At 35.5% G+C, this 26081-nt stretch overlaps 1 protein-coding gene across 12 annotated transcripts in view, besides 4 other annotated features; it reads left to right on the top strand.

The window, feature by feature from the left end:
- ZNF292 (zinc finger protein 292) overlaps window positions 1–26081 on the top strand; it is a 110379-nt gene that overhangs the window by 55482 nt on the left and 28816 nt on the right. For 3 of the 12 annotated variants that reach the window (XM_047418459.1, XM_047418458.1, XM_017010580.2), the window contains exons 2-7: window positions 2856–3023; window positions 3952–4096; window positions 4857–5011; window positions 5253–5331; window positions 7550–7685; window positions 22279–22481. In XM_047418459.1, the coding sequence (XP_047274415.1) occupies window positions 7568–7685; window positions 22279–22481 (321 nt within the window). In that variant the 5' untranslated portion in view covers window positions 2856–3023; window positions 3952–4096; window positions 4857–5011; window positions 5253–5331; window positions 7550–7567. Of the gene's footprint in view, window positions 1–2284; window positions 3024–3043; window positions 3549–3951; window positions 4097–4856; window positions 5012–5252; window positions 5332–7549; window positions 7686–22278; window positions 22482–26081 lie in introns of those variants that run through there. The other 9 variants (NM_015021.3, XM_017010584.3, XM_005248697.5 and 6 more) reach the window with 7 other exon arrangements.
- Window positions 581–1334: an enhancer, noted in NCBI's record as "NANOG-H3K27ac hESC enhancer chr6:87921345-87922098 (GRCh37/hg19 assembly coordinates)". NCBI's record gives its function as "activates a minimal SCP1, AML or CMV promoter by ChIP-STARR-seq in naive H9 embryonic stem cells {active_cell/tissue: H9 hESC(naive)}" and the evidence as "EXISTENCE:reporter gene assay evidence [ECO:0000049][PMID:30033119]".
- Window positions 1335–2086: an enhancer, noted in NCBI's record as "NANOG-H3K27ac hESC enhancer chr6:87922099-87922850 (GRCh37/hg19 assembly coordinates)". NCBI's record gives its function as "activates a minimal SCP1, AML or CMV promoter by ChIP-STARR-seq in naive H9 embryonic stem cells {active_cell/tissue: H9 hESC(naive)}" and the evidence as "EXISTENCE:reporter gene assay evidence [ECO:0000049][PMID:30033119]".
- Window positions 2130–3329: an enhancer, noted in NCBI's record as "P300/CBP strongly-dependent group 1 enhancer chr6:87922894-87924093 (GRCh37/hg19 assembly coordinates)". NCBI's record gives its function as "activates an origin of replication core promoter dependent on BRD2, BRD4, P300/CBP, MED14 and CDK7 cofactors, with strong dependence on P300/CBP, by STARR-seq in HCT116 cells {active_cell/tissue: HCT116}" and the evidence as "EXISTENCE:reporter gene assay evidence [ECO:0000049][PMID:35650434]".
- Window positions 10085–10174: a silencer, noted in NCBI's record as "silent region_17372". NCBI's record gives its function as "represses an Ori minimal core promoter by ATAC-STARR-seq in GM12878 lymphoblastoid cells {active_cell/tissue: GM12878}" and the evidence as "EXISTENCE:reporter gene assay evidence [ECO:0000049][PMID:35858748]".

The following is a 26081-nucleotide window of genomic DNA, read 5'->3' on the forward strand; positions in this document are numbered from 1 at the left end:
TTATGAACACACACATATACTCACTAGTGTAGTCCCTTCTGGTATGGTGGAGTGTGTCTTTAATATATGACTCCTTTCAGTATCCTCAACTCTGAATCATCTTGCTCCTCTTTGAATAACTTCAGTTCGTGGGCCACCACCTGTCTCAGGAGGCCAACTTGTTCTGTTTTTGGTTTACTCTAATGGTTTGGTAGTTCTGTCTTATAGGAAACAGGAAAGTGTCTCTTTTAAACTTCAACCTAGTGGTCCTGGTATGACCTGTGAGACACACAGAATAAAATTAACTCCTCTCTTATGTGACAAGCCTCTAGATTTGTGAATTTGGCTAATTTAATCTAAAATTTAATCCAAATTTTAAAAATTGGATTTACAAGTCAATTTTTATTTCTCCAGAAATGTATCACATAGTAGTTAAGAATGAACACTCTGAAGTCAGACTATGAGGATTTGAATCCCTTCTCTGCCTTTCCTAGCTCTGTGGTCTTATGGCTTTTTATTTCACTACTTTTGGTTAGTTAATTTTTAATATAAGCATATTACTATAATTTACCTAATTACTGAATAGGTAGTACATGTAAAGCTCTTAGAACAACGCCTAGCACATGGTAAATATTCAGTAAATATTATTTAGTATCCAGATAAAGCATCCCTAGTTCCATCAGTCATTCATCAAAAAACAGTTTTAAATTTTCTTACCATATTTTTCTTACAGGTTACTCATTAATGGAAGCAATATGGTGCATTGCAGGAAGACATTTAGGTTTTGTTCCTTGTCTTTTCCCCTCTATGCCATCTCCCCCCAACTCATCTTCAAACCAGATTACAGTGACATTTATCTTTGTCTGTTCATATGTGTATAAATATAAATATATGTGTATAGACATTCATTCATTCTTGAAGGGGTGTCGTAACAAAAACCATTGGTTTAATGGGGAAAAAAGTGTAGGACTTTGGTCAGATGCCAGTCGCAAGTACCAGGTCCCCAAGTCTGTCCAACTTGGCTACAATGTTAGGGGTTCTCACAACCCCCTCCTCAGGGTCAGTAATTTGCTAGAATAACTCACAGAACTCAGGAAAATGCTATACTTACTATTACAAGGTATTATAAAGGATACAAATGAACAGCCAGATGAAGAAGTACCTAGGGTGAGATCTGAAAGGGTTCCAAGCACCAGAGCCTGTCTCTGTGGAGTTGGGATGTGCCACCTTCCCAGCACATGGATGTGTTTTCCAACTCAGAAGCTCTTAGACTACTGTTGTTTAGGAGGTCTTGTGGAGTACATAGCCATGATTGATCAGATCATTGGCCATTGGTGATTGGGTTCAATCTCTGCCCCTTTACCTCCTGCAAGACTGGGGGGTGGGGCTACAAGTTCCATCTCTCTAATCATGGCATGGTCTTTGTAGTGACCAGTCCCTGTCTTAAAGCTATCTAGAAGCTCCTCAGCCTAATGTTATCTCATTAACATGAAAAAGACACTTACGTAGATTTCAAGGGTTTTAGGAGCTTTGTGCTAAGAACCTAGGACAAAGACCAGTTATTTTTTATTATACCATACTTGTATGCCTGCCAGTGGCACAAACTGAATTCAAAGACTGGTCATGAATCTTAACATCCCTTTTGATTGAATGGTTGCATCATTGAATTCCAAATTTTCTTGTATAATCTTTCCTAGTTCATGTTGGTTCAACCAGGAACTAATCCCAGGTTTTAATTGCTCTAATCAAAATCACCATGCAAGAGAATGTTTTCATTTCTAGCAGTCCATAGTTCTCTGTCATTGTCCTCTGAATCATCTAGCTGGTCAAAAGATTGGAGAGTATAACCATTTCAGATCCATAAGAAATATAAGTTCTTCTTTATTTGAGGGCTGTTTAGAAGAAAGTTAAGAATTCTTCTGTGTAGGGGTCAAAAGAAAACTTCCCTTCATCCTCTGAAGGTTCACTGAAAATCACCTGACAAACAGCAGATTAATAGGAGAAATGGCATACAGATTTATTAATGAAAGGGAGGTGGGGAAATGTGGGTGATTTTAGAGGAGGGTTGTAAATTATTTTTAGGGGAATTCAATGGACTTGAACATACAGTGGCCTGGGACAAAGTCTATTGAGCCTGCTAAGCATTCAGTGGTTTGTGACAAAAGTCTGGCTAGGTGTGTTGACAGACTTCCGTCTTCCTGCCCTATGAGTTCAGTTAATGAAAACTCAGGGAGGGGACTGTTAGAAATGCTTATTCCCGGTGCCACAAAGAAATAGCACTCAAACATAAATTTAATTTTCACAGAAAGGCAATTTTTACTTTCTGCGGAAAGGGTGCTCCTTGCAGATGGAACAATGGTGAGACCACACCCGGACAGGGGAGGGGAAGGAGTTCTTGTTCCTGACGCAGGTATCCCCTACTGCTGTGTCATTCCTGTATTGGCTAGGGTTGGCCCGCACAGTCTAAGCTAATTCCAACTGGCTATTTTAAAAAGAGCAGGGGGTATGAGCCAGAGTGGTAGGGTGAGTAGTTTGGCGGGAAGGATGGTTAGAAACAGGTAACTAAAGGTGACTTAGGTCAGAGCAGGTGACCAGGGGTGACTCAGGTAAAGCAGGTGACCGGGATGAGTCAGGATGGACCAGGTGACCAGGGAACAGATGTGAACTACTGATTAGGACTGGTGGGAAAGTTGTTTACTGAAACTTAGAAGCAAGGGGGTGAAGAGAACCAGGAAGCTAAACTTTAAAATGGAGAATCAAAGAATAAGAGAGCTGAACATACTGACATACTGATTCTTTGAAGAGAAACTTGGGGTTCACTATATTTAACAGGATCAAAGGTAATTTTCTTCTTCTTTGGTGGGCCTGGACTTTAGACAGATAAGGAAACTTCACAGAACAACTTCATACTGTGTTTTGCGAGAAAGAGGATCAAGAGATGGGAAGAAACAGGGGAAGGTCGGAGAGACTCTGAGGCTGCTTCTTCAGCATGTCAAAGTGCCACAGTTTGGGGTATCAGTTTCTGAGCCCCAGCACCTGCAAAAGTGAGTCTCTGGATTGGGATTATATGTATAATAGTGACATGATTAGGCAAATAAAAGGCTTTAATTTCTGTGTTTACATCGAAGCTGAATAATCTTGGATATAATGTAGGCAGCTTGGGTATAATGTAGGCAGCTTCATCTCATGACCAGCTACAATGTCATTTGTTCATCATTACATTTAACAATGCCAAGAGGGTACAGAAACATGGATTCCCCTCTTCCCCAGCATCTCTGTCCCTGCTTGGAACTTAAAAGATCAGGAATAGCTTTACCTTTGGGTTTCATGTGGATTGAGCTAAGGAACTTATCTCTGGTTGTTTTTATCCTCACGTAGAATCTATTTTGTACCATGAAGGTTTGGGATATAATGGGATTGTGAGGTGAGGTGCAAGTGTGGATGAGAGCAAATTTGTTTCAGGGTTCATCTGGGAAAGATTGCAGTGTTTTTTCCTGGATATCTGAGAAACACGTTTTTCCACTTCAACTTTACTGAGAAATTTTGCTGTGGAGTTGGTTTTGGACCTAGTTGAGTATCCCCCGACACCCCATCCTACATCCTGCACTGTGGCTGCAGGTTTTCTGTCCTTTCTGTCTCTAGCAATCAGTATTTGCCCTCACTTCTTAGGGGGAAAGGAAAGGAAAGGATTAGTTGAGAGCCAAGGTCTGTGAATATATGGCTACTCAGTCGGTGAGTAGTTATTTTGTTGCCCTTTAGTTTACCAGCTTACTTTTTCTATTGCTTTCGTCTAATCACTTACTAATTCTGTTAGTTGGAAGTTAGTAGAGAGGTCAAGGTAGTAAGTGCTTTGGTAGTAGAATACAATCCCCCCCACCCCTTCCCTCCCTCCAGTTTTTAAAAGTGCTTCTGTATGCCAGAGGATACAGGCCCTCAGGAAATTTTTTTTTCCTTCAATACCCTATTTTCTAGGAAAAGAAACCTGAATTTCCATATGTTTGATTAAATGAGTCTTAAACCCTGAAGTGTGGAGAGGACCAATTGTGGCAGTCTTCTGTGTTATAAAAACATTTAATTAGAATCTCTCTTCATTTAGCATAACTATAGAACCTTTTAGGTAAGAGTCTTAACATGTGTGTTTCTGTATAACTTATCTTTCCATTATCTCCCATCTCTTATTCAGTAAGATAAATAGCATCTTTTAAAGTAATTCTGATGAGGTAAATTTAAAATATTCACTTAATTGAAAGATGAGAAATATTTTTAATTAAAAAAACACTATTACAAAAATTACTTAACCTTATAATAATTCTTTAATATCTTTAATGTTGATTTTTATATGTTGAAAGTCTTTGGATGACTTTTTAATTGCTAGTGCTTGTCAAAAAATTATTAATTTGTATGTACTGTTATTTTTTTATGGACTGAAAAAGGACACGTCTTTGCTGACCATACATGATTTATTTTGTTGTTCAATATTGAATTTTCTGCTGCTTCTACGAGAAATAGAAAACAGATATTATTTCAAATTCTTCACTGCATGCCTGGTCAACTGTTACTTGCTCAGATGTCTTTTTAAAATAACTTTTAAAACTTACTAGGGAATAGAGGAGATAACTCTTGCCCTATTTAAAACTAGCCTTGATGAAATTATGCTGTTGCTGGATGAATTAATACTAATCTTTTCTCCTACAGAGAGCTGCCAAAAATATGACTATGACTTTATTTCATTTAATATTTTAATCAATATAAACTACTTTTTGTTTTTATAAATAAAAATCTGTATTTTTCAAAATTTTTCAGGAAAAAACAGCTGATGAGTCAATGTATATTTTGATTTACATTTTGAATACTTTTTATTATTCCTTCCAAAACAGACACTCCTAGAATATGCAGAGAAATGGAAAACTTCAGAAGATCCTTTACCTTTATTGGAGGTATACACAGTGGCTATCCAAAGTTATGTTAAAGCCCGACCTTATCTTACCTCTGAATGTGAAAATGTAGCCTTGGTTCTGGAACGCTTGGCATTGTGAGTAGACCTTTGAGTAAATAAACTAGATTTAGCTTTAAAAATACATAGACACACACACACACACACACACACACACACACACACACACACACACACAACATTAAATCTCAAGTCTTATAGTTTAATTTTAAATAGATTAGTTATGGGGAGTCTGCTTATGATACTAGAATTACTGGTTTTATAATTTCCTTTGAATTTTAATAATTATTCCTCTCCTTACCAACTTTTTGTTTTTTAGAAGCTGTGTTGAACTTTTACTGTGTCTGCCTGTTGAGTTATCAGATAAACAGTGGGAACAATTTCAGACACTGGTGCAGGTGAGAATCTTTATCTTTAGATTTAATACAGGTATATCTTATGTCAGTTTTCCTTACTCTTAAAAAAATTATTCAGTTAAACTTTAAGACATCTCAATAATGACAGACATTAATTACTGATCTTATTGACACTAGTATCTTACATAGAGTAGATCTCAACAAATGTTTGCTAAATGTATATATACATTTAGATAGATTGAATAATCGTTATGATCAGATAATTAGGGCTTTGTAAGAGCAGCAAGGGAACACAAAAGAAAGTGCCCTCATTTGGATTTAGAAACAGTTAAACTGGTTTCTGAAAGTCTTCAATGTGCTTTATAAGAATTTCACATATATCATTTAATCCTCATGAAAATTTGTGTGGATAGGTATATTTTCCCCATTTTAAAGGTGAGGAAACTGAGGCTCATACTCCAAAATAATTATATGCCCAAACTTGTCTAGCTAAGATCACATAGTAGTTATTCGAACTAAGGTTCTTTATTCCAAAGCCCATGCCTTTTCTTCTGTCTGAAAACACATGCTTTGTCTATTTTATTTAGTGTTGTTATTCTGCTTATATGAGGTACTACACAATTTAGCAGTTAGTAGTCTTGAAGTTTTTTCAAGAATGTTAAATTTTGTTTCAACACTAGAGCTGGATGTATTATGGCTTCAACTAAATTTTGATTAATTGGTTAGTTAAAAAGAATGCTCCTGCCAGCTAGTTTCAAAGCTATAGTTCTCTTTCTCTCCATTTCTCTTTCCAGAGTTCTTAAAATATCTTTAGGCCTTAAGATTTTCTGTAAGAAATATATTAAAGAGGTATAGCCTTAAACTTTAGAAGCATGTAAAATAAGCTATAGTTAGGCAGAGAAATAAACTTTCCTGTTTTAATATTAAACATTAAAATCTACATCAAGTGCAACAGGCCCTTGAAGGTGGAATTCATATCTTATTTAACGTCATAGGATTCTGCATAATGTCTTACACATAACAGATGCTTAATAACTGTTTGTTGAAATGAAAGTGTCTTGTCCTGTTTGTCACATTGCAACTAACTTTTTGATCATGCATATTCTACTTCGGATATCCGTAACTTGTATCTTAGGTTTTTTTTCCAAAAAGTATTTTTAGGTAAATTATTTTGAAACTTCCTATTGCTTGCCATTCAGATACACCCTACCACAGAATTAATATGCATAACCAGAATTCCAAATGCTACTGATTTTGTTTGCCAACGTAAGATAAAATTTTACACTTTCTTTTTGAAACAAAAGGACTAGTTAATACCTTTTTAGATGGATTATGAAGGAAGTAACTCTTTACATCCCTCTACATTCAGTTACTTAAAGAAAACTTAGTAAAGCACCTGAACTTTGTTGGAATGGGAATATTTGGATGGCTTTGAGGATTAGACTTTTTGTTTGAACATAGCATGCAGCTTTAAGAGTTTCTACAACACTTTGCTCCCATTTCTGAGCTTCCTCAAGGTTAGTTTATGCCTGTTTAACAGCATTTATTTTCCCTGTGTTTTAACTATTTAAACATTTCTTTACCCAGAGGATAAGCCCCATAAAGTCAGGGACTAGTTGCTCTTCTCTAGAACTTTGTTCATAGAAATTCTCAATAAACAGTTTCTGAATTGAATAAAAACTATTGGTCTTTTGTGGACTGAAGACTATGCCCATTTCATGAACACTTGGAAACAACTAGCAGGCAAGGTTCATCATCAGCTTTAATGTGAAATTGCCAGAACTATACAATGAATAAATGAAAAAATCATGCATTTAGTTATTTTCTTTTTGTAATTCCCTTTTATTGGAATATGCATAAGTTGTCACTTAGTTCGTTATGCAAATCTTTTTATTAATGGTAGATTTGGGGGAAAACTTTTTTAAACACAGAGGATATAAAATGTGTAAGGTCTTTTATGCGTATGGATATTCTGATTGCTTCCTTGAGGAATAACTTTACTCCTGGCTTAGATTTTGGGGAAGAAAAAATACAGACTTACTTCTGTAAATACATTATATTTATTTAAGATTTGTAAATGATGTATTTCTTATCCTTGAAATTCATCTTTAAATATTAGAAGGAATTGAGTACTTTGTAATGTGATGTGAAATTTTTAAGATGAAAGTCTTTTCAGAAGTTTAGTGTTATATTTAAAGCCTGATAAGCTTGCTTTTAAAAATCTGTTGTAATTCTTTGGATGTTTATTTAATATTTATAGGTAGCTCATGAAAAGCTGATGGAGAATGGCAGCTGTGAATTGCATTTTTTAGCTACTCTAGCTCAAGAGACTGGGGTGTGGAAAAACCCGGTACTGTGCACTATTCTTTCCCAGGAACCATTGGATAAGGATAAAGGTAAATTTTCGAGAGACAGAGAAAAAAAAGAATAATTAGACTAGAAAAAATAAGTGTTAAAGTTGTTTTGATATAATTTATCTCAAGATATTCCAAAGAAGGACCATTTAATTAAATATCTTCTGAGGTGTGCTTGAGGCCCTGCGCCTTTATTTTATTTTGGGGAAGATGAATTTATACGATTATAGAATCATAGATTAACAGATAAACTAGAATTTTTTCCCAACATCTTTTTAACAGAGGAATTCCTTCTGTAACTTCTGACAGGTGGCAATCCAGTTTATATTTGATAATTTATTTGATAGTTGGGAGAAACAGAAATAGGGTGCTGAAATGCTTTTCCTCAAAATAAAATAAGAAGTCAGTACTAGAACTCTTTAAGTCTTTTGTCTCTAAGATTAAAATGCTTTCTCAGTTTATTGCTCAGTCTTATTGTATCCCCTGCGTTTTTCTTTTATGAGCTCAGCCTGGTATCCTATTGAAAGTAGATGGCTAAATTACTTATATGTATAACACTTAATGTTTTTTAGAGTTTAAAATTTATATAGACCCTGAAGAAAAGTACAGTTGTATTCTAGATACTTTTCTTGAGATTATTTAGGAAAATGTGCCCAAATATCACCCTAACCTTTCCCAAGGTATTTAACTAAAGAAGTAAATTTTTTTAAAAAATTGTAATATATCTAATGGAAAAGCATGTATTTACCACTGTAAGCTTCTTCCGTCATTTATTGCTGCTTTTCTTGTTGATCAGTGGCAAATTCTAGGAAGTTTTGCTATGTGATAGCAAGTTATGAAGGCCATGAGAAGGGAGTGTTAAGTCTATTGCTTGTGAGCTCTTCTGGTACTTTGATGTTTACCCAAAGCCTTCCCAGCCAATCTTCAAACTTCTCTTTAGATTGGTTATTCCTACTGGATTTCTGTCTTCACCATTTTCTCCATGCTTTCTTGATCGTTCTAGCAGTGTACTTGTTTCTTAGTTTTCACAAGAGGTTTATTTTTAGTATCCCCTACCTTCATGGATATCCAAAAATTAGCTACAGTGTTCTCGAGACCTTGGAAGGAGATCCTTTCATTACTTAATAATAGTAATTTATTTATTTACTTATTTATTGAGACAGAGTCTTGCCCTGTGGCCCAGGCTAGAGTGCGGTGGTGCGATCATGGCTCACCGCAGCCTCACTTCCAGACTCAAGTGATCCTTTCAGCCTCCTGAGTAGCTGGGACTGCAGACACATGCCACCACACTCAGCTAGTTTTTGTATTTTTATTTTTTGTAGAGACAGGGTCTCCCTGTGTTACCCAGGCTGGTCTCGAACTCCTGGGCTCAAGCCATCCTCCCACCTCAGCCTTTCATAGTGTTAGGATTACAGGCATGACTGACCACACCCAGCCTAACAATAAATTTAAAAGTTGAGAATCTTAGATTTTTTTTTTTGCCTTGCCATATTAACTTTATTCCCAATAGATTAATACCAGTATGCTTTAGTTCTAGCACCAAATTATACTTTCTGATCTTCTCAGCTTTTAGAAATATTAGATGTGATATATTAGTAATAATATCAAATTACAAGTTCCTCACAGTTTGGAAAGTGCTTTTATATGCATGGTTTTATTTAACCATCATAGTGAATGCTTTGAAAAAGATAGGATCCTTATTGTCCCTGTTTTTCAGATGAGAAAATAGAGGTTCAGAAAGATGAGTATTTTTTTCATACCACATTACCAGTGATGAGAGGCAGAGCCAGGAATTAAAATCAGACCTCAGCCTCTCCCTATTAATGCCCTGTTGCATCTAGCCTAATAAAATAGAGTTGCACCTACTCTAAATAAAGGAGTAACTCCTTTTCCCATTGTCAGTTTCTGAACAGCATTTTGCCAAATTCACATATTATGCTAAAGCAGGAAAAAGGAACCTTTATCCTAGCAGAGATTTCAACTTTATTTGAAAAGATAATGTGCTTGATTTCTTTACTTGTTTGAATGTGCCTAACATTGTATCTGTTAACCAATGTCTCTGCCCATCTCTGTGCTGCTTTATTTCTTGACCTTCATCTTGTCATAGCCACTGGAATAATTAGGACTATGCAGCCAGGGGAGTTTTCTGCAAAGTAGATGGATTGTAGGTAGCCAAACTAATACAATACAGCTCATGAAACAACCAGAGAGATGTTACATGATGGAGAGATTTGCACCCATAATCTAGCCTGCAGCAAGTTTGAAGAGAATAATAAGAGCCCAGAAAATGAGTATACCTCTATAGGTTATACTCATTCGTTTGTTTATAGTGAAGCCTTTGAAGTTTTGATGTAGTATTTGAACAGTGACTAATCTGATTAATTCTGAGTTATTTTAGTTTATTTTTTTCAATTGACTGATTTTGGACCTACTAAAGCCCAGCTCAACTGAGAAATACTCTTTGATTTGGGAGAGTAAGGGTGGACAGGACTCAAAGATACTGGTTTCACTTCAACATTTGAGTATCCTAGAGTGAGGTAGCTCTAATAACTAAACCAATACAAGTCAAGTAGATGGTTTTGAATATCAAAGGAACTTTAGGCATACTTAAATATTACTTATGCCTCTCTTTAGTCATAATCTTGGGATTGGAAAGGTGCTTAATGCTCAATTATTTGTTACTCAATTTTAATTCCCCTCTAAAACATCACTAATAAATTAGCTTTTGCTCAAACACTTCTAGAGTATGGTACTTATGTAGTTCAGTCTATTCTTAGCCTGCGATTAGAAAATCTTCATTGTGAAAATTGTGAAAACTAATTTTTGGAGCTTCCAGCTTTTGGACCTGGTGCTGCCTCTAAAGCCATAGTAAAGTATAAATCTCTCTTTCACTTGGTAGCAATTGAGATTTTTAAAGATTGCCATCATGTCTACACTTAGTCTTCTTTTCTTTTCTTTAATTTTTTATTTTTGTGGATATATAGCAGGTGTACATATTTATGGAAGTCTTCTTTTGTAGACTAAAAACCTTGATGTGGCATGATTATAAATCTACAATCGTGATTCCTCTTTTTTGAGTGCATTTTATGTTTTTGTAGTTCTCTTAAATGTGTAAATCTCAGCACTTCATCTGTACTCTAAATATGATCTGGCCAGTTTTGAGGTCAGAGGTATCTTCTTTCTCTTCATGCTAACAATTTATACTTAAGTTAATGTAATGTAAGATGACATTACGTTTTTGGGCAGCCATGTAATTCTCACAACTCAATGAGGTTACTAAAATCATTTAAAATTTTTAAAAAATAAATGCTAACTTTTAATTATGTCTTCTCAATCTACGTTTGTATACTTTTTCTTTTGGTGTACAAGTGTATTACCTTTTTCTTCCTGTGTAATTTTACCATATTAGATCCCTTCTGTCTCCCCAACTTGTCAAGATTCTTTTTAATCCTGATTTTGTTATTCAAGGATTTTGTCCTTCCCAATTTCCTCTCGTTTTGCAGACTTCATTTTCATATACCATATTGGCATCCAGGTTCTTCATCATAACCATAAAAAGGTCATGTCCAGAAATCAAGCTTCTGGGATACTTAAAAAAATCTTTCTGCTTGCCTTTAGTTCTTACATCCATATCCGTTGATTATTATTGTTTTATCAAATATACCTATTTTCCCATAATGCTGGCCCATGGTTCTCCTTTTCTGTCTAAAGGATTTGGTGAAAGACCATAACAAGTGTTTGTGGCTGTGAAAAACTGGCTGTGACAGTTTTTCAGACTTTCCTTGTTTTTGACAAATGTTTGGCTAAAGTTCTTTTATGTAAGATTATTCAATACTGAGGTTAGTCTGACCTAATTTATTTTTTACATAAAAGTTTTTATTTTAGAATAGTTTTAAATTTATAGAAAAATTGTGAAGAGTTTCCATATACCCTGAACCCGTTTTCACTCTCATTAATATCTTACATTAGTTTGGTACATTTGTCACAATTAATAAACTAATATTTATACTTTGTTATTAATTAATCCATAATTTATTCACATTTCCTTAGTTTTTACCTAATGTCCTTTTTCTATTCCAGGATTCCATCCAGGATACCACATTACATTTAGTCGTCATGTCTTCTTAGGCTCCTCTTGGCTGTGACAGTTTTTCAGACTTTCCTTGTTTTTGATGACCTTGACAGTTTTGAGGAGTACTGGTCAGGTATTTTGTAGAGTGTCCCTCAATTGAGATTTGTCTGATGTTGTTCTCATGATTAGACTGGGGTTATGGGTTTTGAGGAGGAAGACCAGAAAGGTAAAGTACCATTGCCATCACATTATATAAAGGGTATCTGTTGTCAACATGACTTATCACTGTTTTGAGGTTTTTTGAGGTTTTTTGTTTGTTTGTTTGTTTGTTTTTTGAGAAAGGGTCTCTCACTCCATCACTCAGGCTGGAGTGCAGTGGCATAATCCCAGCTCACTGCAACCTCCAACTCCTGGGTTCAAGCGATTCTCCCACCTCAGCCTCCCGAGTAGCTGGGACCGCAGGCATGTACCACCATGCTTGGCTAAACTTCTTTGTATTTTTTGGTAGAGATGGGGTTTCACCTTGTTGGCCAAGCTGGTCTCGAGTCCCTGACCTCAAGTGATCCACCTGCCTTGGCCTCCCGAAATGCTGGGATTACAGGCATGAGCCACTACACCCAGCCGACTTATCACTGTTGATGTGAACCTAGACCACCTAGCTGTGGCAGCATGTGTCAGGTTTCTCCACTGTGAAGTTACTCTTTTCTCCCTTTCCATGTTATATTCTTTAGAATGAAATTACAATGTGCAGCCCATCTTCAAGTGGGAAGTTATGCTCCACCTCCTTGAGGAAGCAGTATCTACATGTTATCTGGAATTCTACACAGGAGATTTGTCTCCTCCCTATTTATTTTTTCAATCAGTCATTTATATTAGTATGGCCTTATATATATTTATTTTATTCTTTGGTCATAATCTGATACTACTTTATTTTGTTGCTCAGTTTCTTCCAGTGTTGGCAGCTCTTTCCTTTGACTCTTGTGTCCCTCATCAATGGGTTTTGTTTTTTGTGTGATTACTTCCTTGCTTTCTGGCACTGTAATATGCTCCAGGCTCATCTGGCGTATTTCCTGCCTGAGTCCTGGAATCAACCGTTTCTCTAGGGAGGACTTGCTCCTTTTATTGGAGAATGGTATTAGAAACCAAGATCTATATTAAACTAAATATGAATTCTTACTGATGTCTCCAAGTCTAATTCATTAACACAAAGATCATTGTAGCCTCCTTCCCTTGCTTATCTGTGACCTCCCACTTCAACAAAATGTCATGTAATTGGAATCATACAGTATGTAGCCTTTCAGACTAGCTTTTTCCACCATTGGCCATCCATTTACTTAATCCTAGTATACCCCTATAGGAAAAAACTTTATTAACTACAGTACAGTGCTTTTGTACAGTTCTTTTTTACTTTATTCTTACATTCTCCACTCATTTCCAAAGTTACTTAGGTCAGCACCTTATTTCTCCATTCCTTTCAGTGAGGTTCTTTTCATACATTTGTAATATAGTTATTTTGTTGTATTCTGTATTCCATCTTGGGCTTCCTGAACCTCCTAAATAACTTTTTTTTCAATTTGCATACCTTAAGATTCCCTCTTTTGTGTTGTATAGTTTTATAGATTTTGACAAATGAAAATAGTGTCGTGTGTCCACCATTACAGTAGTATACATAGTAGTTTCACTCCCTAAAAAAAAAAACAACAAAAAAACTGTGTTTCATCTATCCAGCCTTCTCCCAAACACCTGACAACTACTTATCTATCTGCCATCTCTATAGTTTTGCCTTTTTCAGAATGTCACGTAATTAAAGCTTTTCATTCAAGCTTCTTTCACATAGCATTGTATATTTAACATTCATCCAGGGCTTTACGTGTCTGTTAAACCAATGAGCTATTAGCTCATTCCTTTTTATCACTAAATAATATTCCATTATATGGCTATACCACAGTATCCATTCACCTGTTAAAGGTGAATGGCTAAACAAACTGTGGTACAGCCATGTAATGGATGCTGTTTTTGATGTATGTGCTGCCAGTTTTTGGTGATTTGAATAAAGCCGTTATAAACATGTGCATGCAGGTTTTTGTGTGGATGTCAGTTTTCAGATCAGTTGGGTGAAAATACATGGGAGTATGATGGCTATGTCATATGGTAAGACTGTGTTTAGCTTTGAAAAAAAACTGTCTTCTAAAGTGCCTGTACCATTTTGTATTCTCATCAGCAATGAATAATTCCTTTTGCCCCATACCCTTACCAACAATTGGTATTGTCCGTTTTTGGAATTTTAGCCATTCTAATAGGCATGTAGTGATATCACATTGTTATTTTAATTTGCATTTCTGTAATGACAAATGATTCTGAACATCTTTTCATATGCATATTTGCCATCTGTATATCTTGGGTGAGGCATCTGTTCAGATCTCTTGCCTATTTCTTAATTGGGTTGTTTGTTTTCTTATTGTTGAGTTTTAACAGTTCTTTGTATATTTTGGGTACAAGTTCTTTTTCAGATATGTGTTTTGCAAATCTTTTCTTTCCCTCTTGTGAAAGAATCCTCTTGTGGCTTGTCCTTTCTCTTAAGAGCAACTTAGCAGAAGTTTTACATTTTCATAAAGTCCTACTTCCCAGTTTTTTCTTCCATGGATCATGCTTTTGGTATTTTATCTAAAATCTCATCGTGAAATCCAAGGCCATATAGATTTTTCTATGGTCTTTTCTAGAAATTTTATAGTTTCACATTTTACATATGGGTATATGATCCATTTTTAGATGAATTTCTGTGAAAAGTGTAACTTAATTTATGTTTAGTGAATTCATCTTGGCTCTTACTAGTCTCACTTCTTTTTCTGAACAATCACAACCCATCTTTTTTAATATAATTAATTTTTAAACTCTTATTCAGGATTACATCTGTTGCCGTTTCTACAGTTTTGCAAGAAGTACCATCAGCCCCGTTTTGAAAATTACATTTTGCCATCTGTTTTCACTTATTCTATGGTGTGTTCTACTCTTAAATCTTAAGCTTATCAAAGAAGTAGAGTAGTAAGAGTAGAAGAAATATACTTTTCTCTGCTATCATAAATAGCACATAATCAAACCCAAGTAGCAGACTTTCCCAAGAAGGTCTCACCATGCTCAGTTTTATTGTTCTCAGCATTTTTGGTGAGTTAGGTGTCATCTTGGGTTTTACTTTTATTAACATTTTGCATAGGTTGTTAGTACCAGGTGTCTGACACTCATGGTGCATCCTTGGTCTTAAACCTGTTTTTCCTTCTTCTGTATGTATTATTTTAAAATCTAAGCTCTAAGACAACTCCCTATTATAGTCACACTGAATTTTTTAGGCACTTTCCCTCTACTTCTATATTGGGTTAATTTGCAATTGCATAAATTGCAGTTTTGTCAGCTTGCCAGTCCTTTCTTGCATCTTGAGCACTGCAGTTCTCTTTTTTCCCCCCAGAACTCTTTTCTTTTCAAAGGAAATTTCTAAAGCTTTAGATTTTCCATGATACTTACAAATCATTCATGGTTTTGTGGGAAATAAGCCCTTATTTAGTAATAAACTTTGCATTTTAAAGTGAAAATGGAAAAATTGCTCTTAGTTTGCTAGATATTAGCATACCTAAGATGCAATAATATTTTAGCAGGAGAGGGGATGGGAGGAGAGAGCTAGCGATAACTAATGTTGCCCAGGTAAATAGGGTGAGGTCAGATCTGATTACATGCAGATTATACCCTACTATTTTATAATTAAATATAAGTATTTAATTATATGACCCAAAGTTTTCAGTTTTACTGAAAAGGATTTTTAAACGCACTCTTTGGTTTCTTAAAGCTCCTAGACAAGGACATTATTTTTTAGTGTGTGTATATATATCTATATATCTATATATATATAGATATATAGATATATAGATATATAGATTTTTTTTTTTTGAGACGGAGTCTCCCTCTGTCGCCCAAGCTGGAGTGCAGTGCATGATCTTGCCTCACTGCAACCTCCGCCTCCTGGATTCAAGCGATTCTCCTCCCTTAGCCTCCCGAGTAGCGGGGACTACAGGCATGCACCACCATGCCCAGCTAATTTTTTATATTTTTAGTGGAGACGGGGTTTCACTATGTTGGCCAGGCTGGTCTCAAACTCCTGACCTCAGGTGATCCACCTGCCTTGGCCTCCCAGAGTGCTGGGATTACAAACGTGTGCCACCATGCCTGGCTTTAATGGGTATATTTTATAATGTTACATGGAAAAATCTGTCAGAATTTAGTTAAATCTAATACTCATAATTAAATCTTATTTTACGCAAAAATTGTAGCATACTAAGTTCATCTATGATATGAAATACTTTCTAATCTTTGAAAGTTAATTCTATTTCCTGAAAATGTAACATCTTTCTTCAGGAAAGGGTAAGAGGTGGGGTCAAAGTTGATTATCCCTAATTGGTCATTTGGAAGTTACCATGAGCAGTAGTCTCAATCCTGGCTATAATTAGAATTACCTGGAGAGGTTTTAGATAGACCAGTGCCAGGGCCCTACCTCATACCAATTAAATTAGACTCTCTGGGCAACCAGTATTCTAGAACTTGAAGCATTGTGTTTTATTAAATGTCTTAATTTGGATTTTTTTTTGACCAACAATGCTGAATTGTGTTTTTTTAAATATATTTTTAATTGTGGTAAAAAAAAACCACACACACAAGATAAAATGTACCGTCTTAACTGTTTTTAAGTTTGGTAATGTCAAATACATTCACATTGTTGTAAACATATTTCAGAACTTTTTCATCTTGAACCCCAAGGTGAAAACTATACCCATTAAACAACAACTCCCCTTTTCCCTTAGCCCTCAGCCCCTGTAACCACTACCCTACTTTTTGTTTCTATAATTTTGAGTACTTTAGATACCTTATATAAACAGTATCATATCATATTTTTCTTTTTATGACTGACTTATTTCACTTAGCATAATGTCCTCAAGATTCATCCGTGTGGTAGCATGTGAAAGGATTTGCTTACTTTTTAATGCTGAATAATATTCCATTATATGTTTATACCACATTTTGTTTATTTATTTATCTGTCGTAGTTGGACATTTGGATTGCTTCCACCTCTTGGTTATTGTGAGTAGTGCTACTATAAACATGGGCATACAAACGCTTCTTCAAGAGCCTGCTTTCAGTTCTTCTGGGTATAACCAGAAGTGGGATAGCTGGATCGTATGGTAGCTGTATTTTTAATTTTTTGAGGAACTTCTGTACTGTTTTCCATAGAGGGTACATCATTTTACAGTCCTAACAGTATTGTACGAAGGTTCCAGTTAATCCACATCCTCACCAACACTTGTTTTCTGTTTTTTTCGTAGTAGTCATCCTACTGGGTGTGAGGTGATATCTCATTGTGATTTTCATTTGCAGTTCTCTGATGATTTTTGATGTTTCGTATGCTTGTTGGCCATTCGTATGTTATCTTTTGAGAAATATCTATTCAAGTTATTAGTCCATATTTTAACTGGATTTTTTTGTTGTTGTTGAGTTAAAGGAGCTCTTTATATATTCTTGATATTAATCCCTTATCAGAGATATGATTTGCAAATATTTTCTCTCATTCCTTTTCACTCTGGTGAAAAGGTTGCCTTTTTACTGTGTTGTGTCCTTTGCACAAAAGTTTTTAAGTGTGATGTAGTTTTATTTTTGCTTTTGTTGCCTATGACACATTTGGTGTCATAGCCAAGAAATCATTGCCAGTCTATTGTCATAAAGCTTTTCTCTATGGTTTCTTCTACGAGTTCTGTAATTTTGGATTTTTCATCTAAGTCTTTAATCCGTTTTGAGTTAATGTTTGTATATGGTGCAGGAATAGGGTCCAGCTACATTCTTTTGCATTTAGGTATCTAATTTTTCCAGCACCATTTGTTGAAGAGACTGTTCTTTCCCCATTGAGTCACCTTGGCACCCTTGTCAAAGATCATTTGACCATATATGATAGGGTTTATTTCTGGACTCTTTTCTATTGCATTGGTCCACATGTCTGTCTTTATGCCAGTATCATCAGTGTTTGATTACTTGAGCTCTGTAATACATCTCAAATCAGGAAGTGTGAGACCTTCAACTTTGTTGTTCTTTGTCAGTTATTTTGGCTTAAAGATTCTATATGAATTTTAGGATGCATTTTTCTATTTCTGCAAAAAAAAATGCCATTGAGATTTTCATAGAGATTGTGTTAAGTCTATAGATTGCTTTGCCTAGTATGGATATCTTAATAATATTAAGTCTTATCATCCATGAACACAAGATACCTTCCCAATTATTTATGCATTTCATTTCTTTTAACAATGTTTTATAATCTTTAGTCTACAGGTCTTTCGCCTCCTCCTTGGTTAGCTTTATTCTTATTTTATTGTTTTTGTTGCAATTGTAAATGGAATTATTTTCTTAATTTCCTTTTTGAACTGTTCATTGTTAGTGTACAGATGCAACTGATATTTATGTGTGGATTTTTATATCTTGCAGCTTTACCAAATTTGTTTATTAGTTGCAGTAGTTTTTAAATGGGATCTTTAGGGCTTTCTACATACAAGATCATGTCATCTGCTAACAGATGATTTTACTTCTTTTCGATCTGTATCTCTTTTATTTTTCTTGCCTAATTGCTGAATTGTTTCTTTCTTTCTTTTCTTTTTTGAGACGGAGTTTTTGCTCTTGTTGCCCAGGCTGGAGTGCAATGGCGCAATCTCGGCTAACTGCAACCTCCGCCTCCCGGGTTCAAGCAATTCTCCTGCCTCAGCCTCCCGAGTAGCTGGGATTACAGGCATGCGCCTCCACGCCCAGCTAATTTTGTATTTTTAGTAGAGACACGGTTTCTCCATGTTGGTCAGGCTGGTCTCAAACTCTCGACCTCAGGTGATCCACCTGCCTTGGCCTCCCAAAGTGCTGGGATTACAGGTGTGAGCCACCGTGTCCAGCCTAATTGCTGAATTATTTCTAAGAGAGAATACAAATTAAGTATTTTTAAAAAGGATAAGTGATCCTTGCTTTGAAAGCAATGGAACCACTAGAAGGTTTTAAACAGGGAAGACAATCAAGTGTGTGCTTTAAAGTAATACCAGAAGCACCCTGGATTCTAGTGAAGTGATGGAGGTGGTAAGAGTAGATGGAGACGACTAGTAGATTGCTACGAAGTAGTCTGATTAGTGATTTGGGCTGGGTTGGGTTGGGTTGGGGGAGCAATATGGAAGTGGAGATGAAGAAGAGTTAATGGAATTGAGTATTTAGGCATTGGAAGTGACACAACTAGGTGATAGATTGATGTCTGGGTGAAAAGGAGGTAGGAGAGAGCATTTTTAAGGCAGACTCCTAGGTTTCTGCCTTGAGCACAACTGAATAGATGGAAATGTGGAGATGACACGTAATGTGGTGTAGAGATATTGTATGCTGAGTTTGAGATGCTTTTGAAACAGCTAGTCAAAGATGCTGCAAAGGAAATCATGCAAATCTGGGCATGAGAATAGGAACCCAGTAAATGAGTTGACCCCACTTTAGGGGGAATCTAGGACCTAGTGTAACCTGTGGTACATAGTACACAATTAATTCTTGTGTAATTATTTATCACAGAAAATCAACTCATATTTTGTATTTAATTATCTTTAATGTAGGAATTAGTGGTTTCCTTTTAATATTATGAAAGTGACATGGCCCGGCGTGGGGGCTCACACCTGTAATCCCAGCACTTTGGGAGGCTGAGGTGGGCGGATCACGAGGTCAGGATATCAAGACCATCCTGGCGAACACGGTGAAACCCCATCTCTACTAAAAGTACAAAAAAATTAGCCGGGCGTGGTGGCGGGCGCCTGTAGTCCCAGCTACTTGGGAGGCTGAGGCAGGAGAATGGCATGAACCCGGGAGGCAGAGCTTGCAGTGAGCCGAGATTGCGCCACTGCACTCCAACCTGGGTGACAGAGAGAGACTCCGTCTTAAAAAAAAAAAAAAAGAAAGTGACATAGGAAGAAGGCTCTTTTACATTTTTAATCAAATTGGCTAAATATCATTTATTTATATTGCCATGTGAAGTAGTGTTATCTATGTCACATAGCTTTCTTGATAGGCCCAAATATAGTAAAGCCTGCTTTTCTGTTGAAGTCTGTGAATATAGAGAAAACATAAAAAGGTGACACATGAGTAAAATTATAAATATTTTATACTTTGTGGGATGCTAGTGGGAAAAGCAGACTAGGGAGTGAAATTTGATACGTCTAAGCTACTCAAAGATAAGTCTGAGAAGCATGAAAACAGTCTTTGTTGCAATATTGTAACATTATAAGGAAAAACATCTTGGATTGCAGAGAAATAGAAAGATGCAGAGAAGTGGGAAAAAAAAGTAGTGAAGAAGTAGAGGGAGAGAAGTGAGCTTTCAATAGGACTGAATTGAGTGTAAACCACTTTTGATCCATTTGAATCATGAACTTCAGAATATATAATTATCTTCCTTTAAAGGCTGATGCTACTTCACAGGTTTTTACTGCTGTAAGGTGCCATTCCAATGAGAAGTAGACCCAGTAGTCAAATAGAAAAAAAAAAATTCTTTTTCTTACCTCACACTGTATAAAGCTAGAAGTCAGAAGACTCATTCTACTCCTCGCTATGTCATTAACTGGCTTTATGTCCCTAGGAAGTCACTTGCCTTCTCTGAGCCTCAGTTTACTCATCTGCCAAATGATGGAACAGACAAAATGATCTATAAATTTCCTTCTACTCAAATATTCTGTGTATTTTTGAAATCCATTTTGCCCTAAGTGTGGCAGTGGTTTCCCATCATTAAGAGACAAACAAAAGCCTATGGCTTTGAAATTTGCAATATTAATATTCTTCTACATTGATTTAATGCAGAAATTACACAATTTGTCGTTCTAACTTAAATGCTGCTATTTGAGAATGCAGGGCCTATTTGAGATTGGGACCATCAGTTTTGTGAAATACTTCCCACCTTTAAGTTATTTCTTCACCATGATCTTTTAGAGTGTGTTGATTGTGACTTTTTTGTGAGAATATTTGCAATAATTCCCAGACTTTGTATCTCTAGAGTTTCCTTTGGAGAAAATTGTTGAATTAGGAAACTAAAGCTCTTGATAGCCAGAATAACTTTATTATAACTTTGTTTTTTAGTCTTATATTTAAAATCTTTTGCTTTGGCAGTGAACTAAACTGTAACTGCATTGTAATTGTCCTAATAGGATAATGCAATATTAAAAAAGAAAAGTAATGCCCTTTATCTCATAAAGACATGTAGTCAGAGGCACCAGAAACATATGCTTTATTTATCTGTGCTTACCCTTTATGCCTTTTAGTGTAATGTAAAGAATAGAGGGTAGCAGGTGAAAAGGTCTAGACTTCAAGAAAAGGATTAGATTTGAGATCTTGTGTTCTATAGCTTATATGTTTATGGTTTTAATACCAACGAGCCATGATCATAGCATTTTATAGAAGAATCTTTTCTATAGTGGAGTACAGTTAGATCTAAAAATGAAAGTACTAGAGGGAAACAAAGGATATTACAAGAAGTAAAGAACATCTCTCATTTTCTGTATTCTAACCTGCAAATTACTTACCAGATGTATCTTTCAGTCTGTTAACAAGCAGAGAAGATACTGTGTTTTATTCATGGAGCATTTTAAATGTTATTACTAAAAGCCTTCCCAAGGTTTCAGGCTAGCCATTGTCAAATAAATTTTTAAACATGATTTCTATTCTGGTAAAGAACACTTAGGAAAAACTTAAACTTGTTAAAACTTAAATTCTCCTTCATAAATACAAAAAATAAAAATATTAATTCTTATTTGTAGATGACCAAACAAGCACTAGGGGATAGTCAGAGGTTTGAACAAAGTAGAAATGTTTTATGCATAAGTGACTGTTTTGAGTTTATTCATTGATGTTTTAAAAATAACGACATAAAACCCACAGAAGTTTTATCCTTTGGCGAAGTTTTATCCTTTGGCAAACTTTTCTCCCATCTTATTTATTTTTCTGTAGATATTTTGATTCATTATAAAACATCTATTTTTAAAAGTCAGATTTCAGCTTTGTAAAATGAAAAATATACCATCAGTATTGAACAAAATATTAGTTGAATCTCTTCTTCTGGAATGTCCCAATAGCTTTTTGTGGTTACTCATCGTGGAAGGTTGTAATGCCCTAGCATTACAGATTTTAGGGATGCTAACTGCTGGTGTTGAAGAATAACTGCTGTAGGAAAAAAAATTAGTGTAATTTTAATAACATTGACTATTAGCATTTAACACAGAACTATTTTCATCATCAACAAGTTTATTCAGCTCATTCTAAATGGTCCCTTATATAAGGGCCAAAAGTACTTAACTTTTAAAAGTTAGCAATATAATCTCTTCTTGCTTATAAGGTCAAGTCTTTTGTGATAGCCTTACTAGCAATAATAGAAAATTGAAAAAAAGCATTTTAGTTCCCGTGTTTAAAAATATTTCTTATAAGTGTTGGTATTGCAAATGAATTATTACCAAATGTTAATAATCTATTATGTCTTGTTTTTTAAAGTGAATGAATTTTTAGCTTTTGAGGGTCCCATCTTGTTGGATATGAGAATTAAACATCTAATCAAAACAAATCAGTTAAGTCAAGCAACTGCTCTAGCAAAGCTGTGTTCTGACCATCCAGAGATTGGCATAAAAGGTAGTTTTAAGCAAACTTACCTTGTCTGTCTTTGTACATCATCACCAAATGGAAAGTTAATCGAAGAGGTGAGTATGTTTTCTTTCATTAGTAATTATTTTTTAAGTTGAGAAATTAATTTTTAATTAGAATGTCTTTGATTTCCTTTTCTCTTAGATAGCGAAGAGATCATTGTCAATCTTACATTTTTGGTATGTTCTTGAGTGGTGGCAACTTGATTCTAAGTAGCTTTTAGAATTATATGTAAACTGATTGCACCTAGTTTCTGTTTTAAATAATATACATCTTTTAAATGCTTTGGCTAAATTGTGGGAAAGATAGTGGTGGCTTAACAGTTTAGTAAAATATCTATATTTGTCAGCTTTTGGCCTTAACTTCAATCTTGTCTGACTTCAAGATACTTGCACATCTTTTAAACTGGCTAATTTAAGTAACTTTATAGAATTTTTGTGACTTATCTCTGGAAATACTTTGTCATATAAATTCTATATAGAATATATATATGCACATCTATGCTATATATCATTTTGAGTACGTATTTATTTGCCTATTTAATGTAAAACCTTATTTTCTCTCTGAGACATTGTCTTTTCACTTCTAGTTTGGTATAAAGCATAGTATTCACATATTTGTATAGTTTATGACTACAAAATTCTGAGAATGGAATCATGATCCAAATGGGAATTTTGCAATTTTGCATTTTGAGGGACTTACAATTTCAAAAGGAAGTTGGAAACAGGGTAGGAGAATTAGAAGTTGTTGATCAAGAAACAGGGCGTGTATATTTAAAGAATTTAGATAAAACTATACTAGATTGGCTGGGTGCCTGTGGCTCACGCCTGTAATCCCAGCACTTTGGGAGGCCGAGGCGGGCGGATCACGAGGTCAGGAGTTTGAGACCAGCCTGGCCAACGTAGTGAAACTCCTCTCTCTACTAAAAATACCAAAAATTAGCTGGGCATGGTGGCGGGCACCTGTAATCCCAGCTACTTGGTAGGCTGAGGCAGGAGAATCGTTTGAACCTGGGAGGTGGGGGTTGCAGTGAGCCAAGATCATGCCACTGCACTCCAGCCTGGGTGACAGTGTGAGACTCTGTCGCAAAAAAAAAAAAAAATTTTTTTTAAAGAAAACCTATAGTAGGTTGATCAGTGTTCAGTGGGCACTGAATGTGTACGGGTGTCTTATATCTGTAATAACATATCCTTTGACTCCAGAGCAATAGAGAGGAAAACAAAGGGATTGTAGGTAAAACATAAGGATATGTTAAGGGAAAAATTGAGATATAAGACAGAGAAGTAAACTAATAGAGCATGCATGATCCTCTTAGGTATTGTCATCAGTCTCAAAGCAGAATAGCCTCATACAGAAAGCTCAGTGCCACATGAGGTTTGTAATGATGATTGTGTGATTTTTTTTTTCCTTGAGAATAGACAAGTAGGAAGGCAAGTGGTAGGCTTGGACCAAGATAAGAAATAAACCTGTTGGGTTTCTTATGTGAGGATATTGAGGATAGTGGGAAGAGTAATGTCAGACAGTTTGTAGGCTAGATGGAGTGGAACCATGGTCTGTAGCCTAGGATACTATATCACTATTAGTTTGGACTTCAACTAGTCTATAGATTTTTTTCTTTATTATTTATTTTATTACAGGTAATTGGCCTTTTAATTGCTATTATATATGAGAGCAAAATAGAAGACTGACATTTTCTTATTAGTTCCAAATAACTAGATAAGTTAATTTGCAGATGTATAAAATTTATTGAAATCACCTTTGACGTGTTGTAACATTTTTAAAAAAATCATTAGTTATTGTGCTGCTGCTTCTCAGATATTTTTCAGTGCCACGAAAGCTTTTATTATCAGTTCAGTCCCTGCCCTTAAGGTTCATCTGACCTCCCTTCCCCTTCCACAGATTTGTATTAAGTGAATGATTTTTTCTGTATAAGCATTGGGGGGGATTGGGGGAGGTGGGATTTAAAGGTGAATAAGGGGTAGGCCCTTCACTAAAGAAGCGTATCTCCTGTTAGGAAACTGACTATCTAAGCATAGAGTTGTTGGGTTAGCTTTGAAGTTGAAGACTGTGAATCTGTGTCTCAAGTAAAAATCTAGTAAAAAAAAAAAAATCTGTATTTCTAGCTCTCTGAATAATCCAGTCTTGCAATACTGAGCCTAAGTTCCTTCTTGGTTTAATTATCCAGAGTTGAGTAACAACAGTCCAGCCTACTCTGGGAGATGATCAGGAAAATTCTGTGAAGACCCTGGGTACTTCCAGTGTCATATGGAACTATTTCCCTCCCCCCCACTTCTCATGTTAAGCAGGTAGAATTAAGACTTTTCATGTTCATAAGCAGGGTTCACTAAGGTTTATATACTCCATCCCAGGAAAAAAACTAGATCATATAGTGCAGAACAGGACAGATAGATGTTAAGTCTACACTTACATAGCACTACACATATATAGTAACATTACTTTGTTAAAAGTCCCTTGTTACAAAGTAACAACATTACTTTGTTAAAAGTCCTTTTTTGCTTAGAGATGATTGCTCTTTAATGTTTCTGTTATAAACACATTAGAAACTTATTCATTGTTCCATATGAGGTGAGTTAAGATTTATTGTCCCCAACCCAGAGACATTGCCCCCTTTAGAAGAGGTGTGCACCATGTGCTCTCTCACTTGCCCACCCTACTCTTTGTCCACTTCATTAATGTACGTTACTTGCCTGTTTCTTACAAGTATTTGAGGTTTGGTTTTGTTTACGTGTTCCTTAAAGGACAGTGGGAACAGACTTTGTTAGAAGGAGTCAGCAATGGCCTGGATTGGTGGTGATCTTTCTGAGGAAATCTTTGTCCAAGTGAGGCAAGGGATTGACTGTTTCCCAGGACCCTTTCGGTGTGATAGAAATAGCAGCTAGTTGATACCCCATAGGTTGTTTTTTTTTTTTTTTTAAAAAAGAAAAGAAATAGCAGCTAGCCTTGGTAGATGGCAGAGGAATGGGGCTGGGAGAGATTAAGTGTTTATCTGGCCTTTCTGGAAGGAATGAACTTTGGTCTGGATTCTTGGTATAGTAGTAAAAAATTAAGTTAGCAGTGTCTAGTTTAGATCCAATATTTCTATTTGTTTTATCATTAAAATATAGAAGTTTAAAAACTAAAACTTTCTATCTTGTATCTCTGTAGCTGTCTCATTTCCCTAATTAATACTCCACTAGGTAATTATTATTAAGATTAAAATTTGATATATAATCTTTCTGACATTCTTCTATGCACATACATGCATTTTTAATACTTAAAATCGCATACACACTCCCTGGTTGCCGGTCCCTTTTCCCTCTATTATTGTGGACATGTTTCCATATCATTTCATATAGATCAACCTTATTCTTTCTCATGGCTACATAATTCCATAGTATGCATTTGTAATATCTTTAACCAGATTGGTAGACACTTACTTATATTGTTGCCTTTTACATACATCCGTGTATCCTTGTGGGGAGTATACTGGTAGGGTAAATTTCTGGAAGTGAAATTGCTGGATCAAAGAATCAACACATTTTAAATTGATAGGTTCAAACTATCCTCCAGAAAAGATTATGGCAATTTATGTTTCCAAAAACAGTGTGAAATATCTTCTTAGAGATTATTAGTCTTAAATATTTGCTAGCCCAAGA

This window comes from Homo sapiens, chromosome 6 (assembly GCF_000001405.40).
Source record: "Homo sapiens chromosome 6, GRCh38.p14 Primary Assembly".
In the NCBI taxonomy this organism is placed as follows: Eukaryota; Metazoa; Chordata; class Mammalia; order Primates; family Hominidae; genus Homo; species Homo sapiens.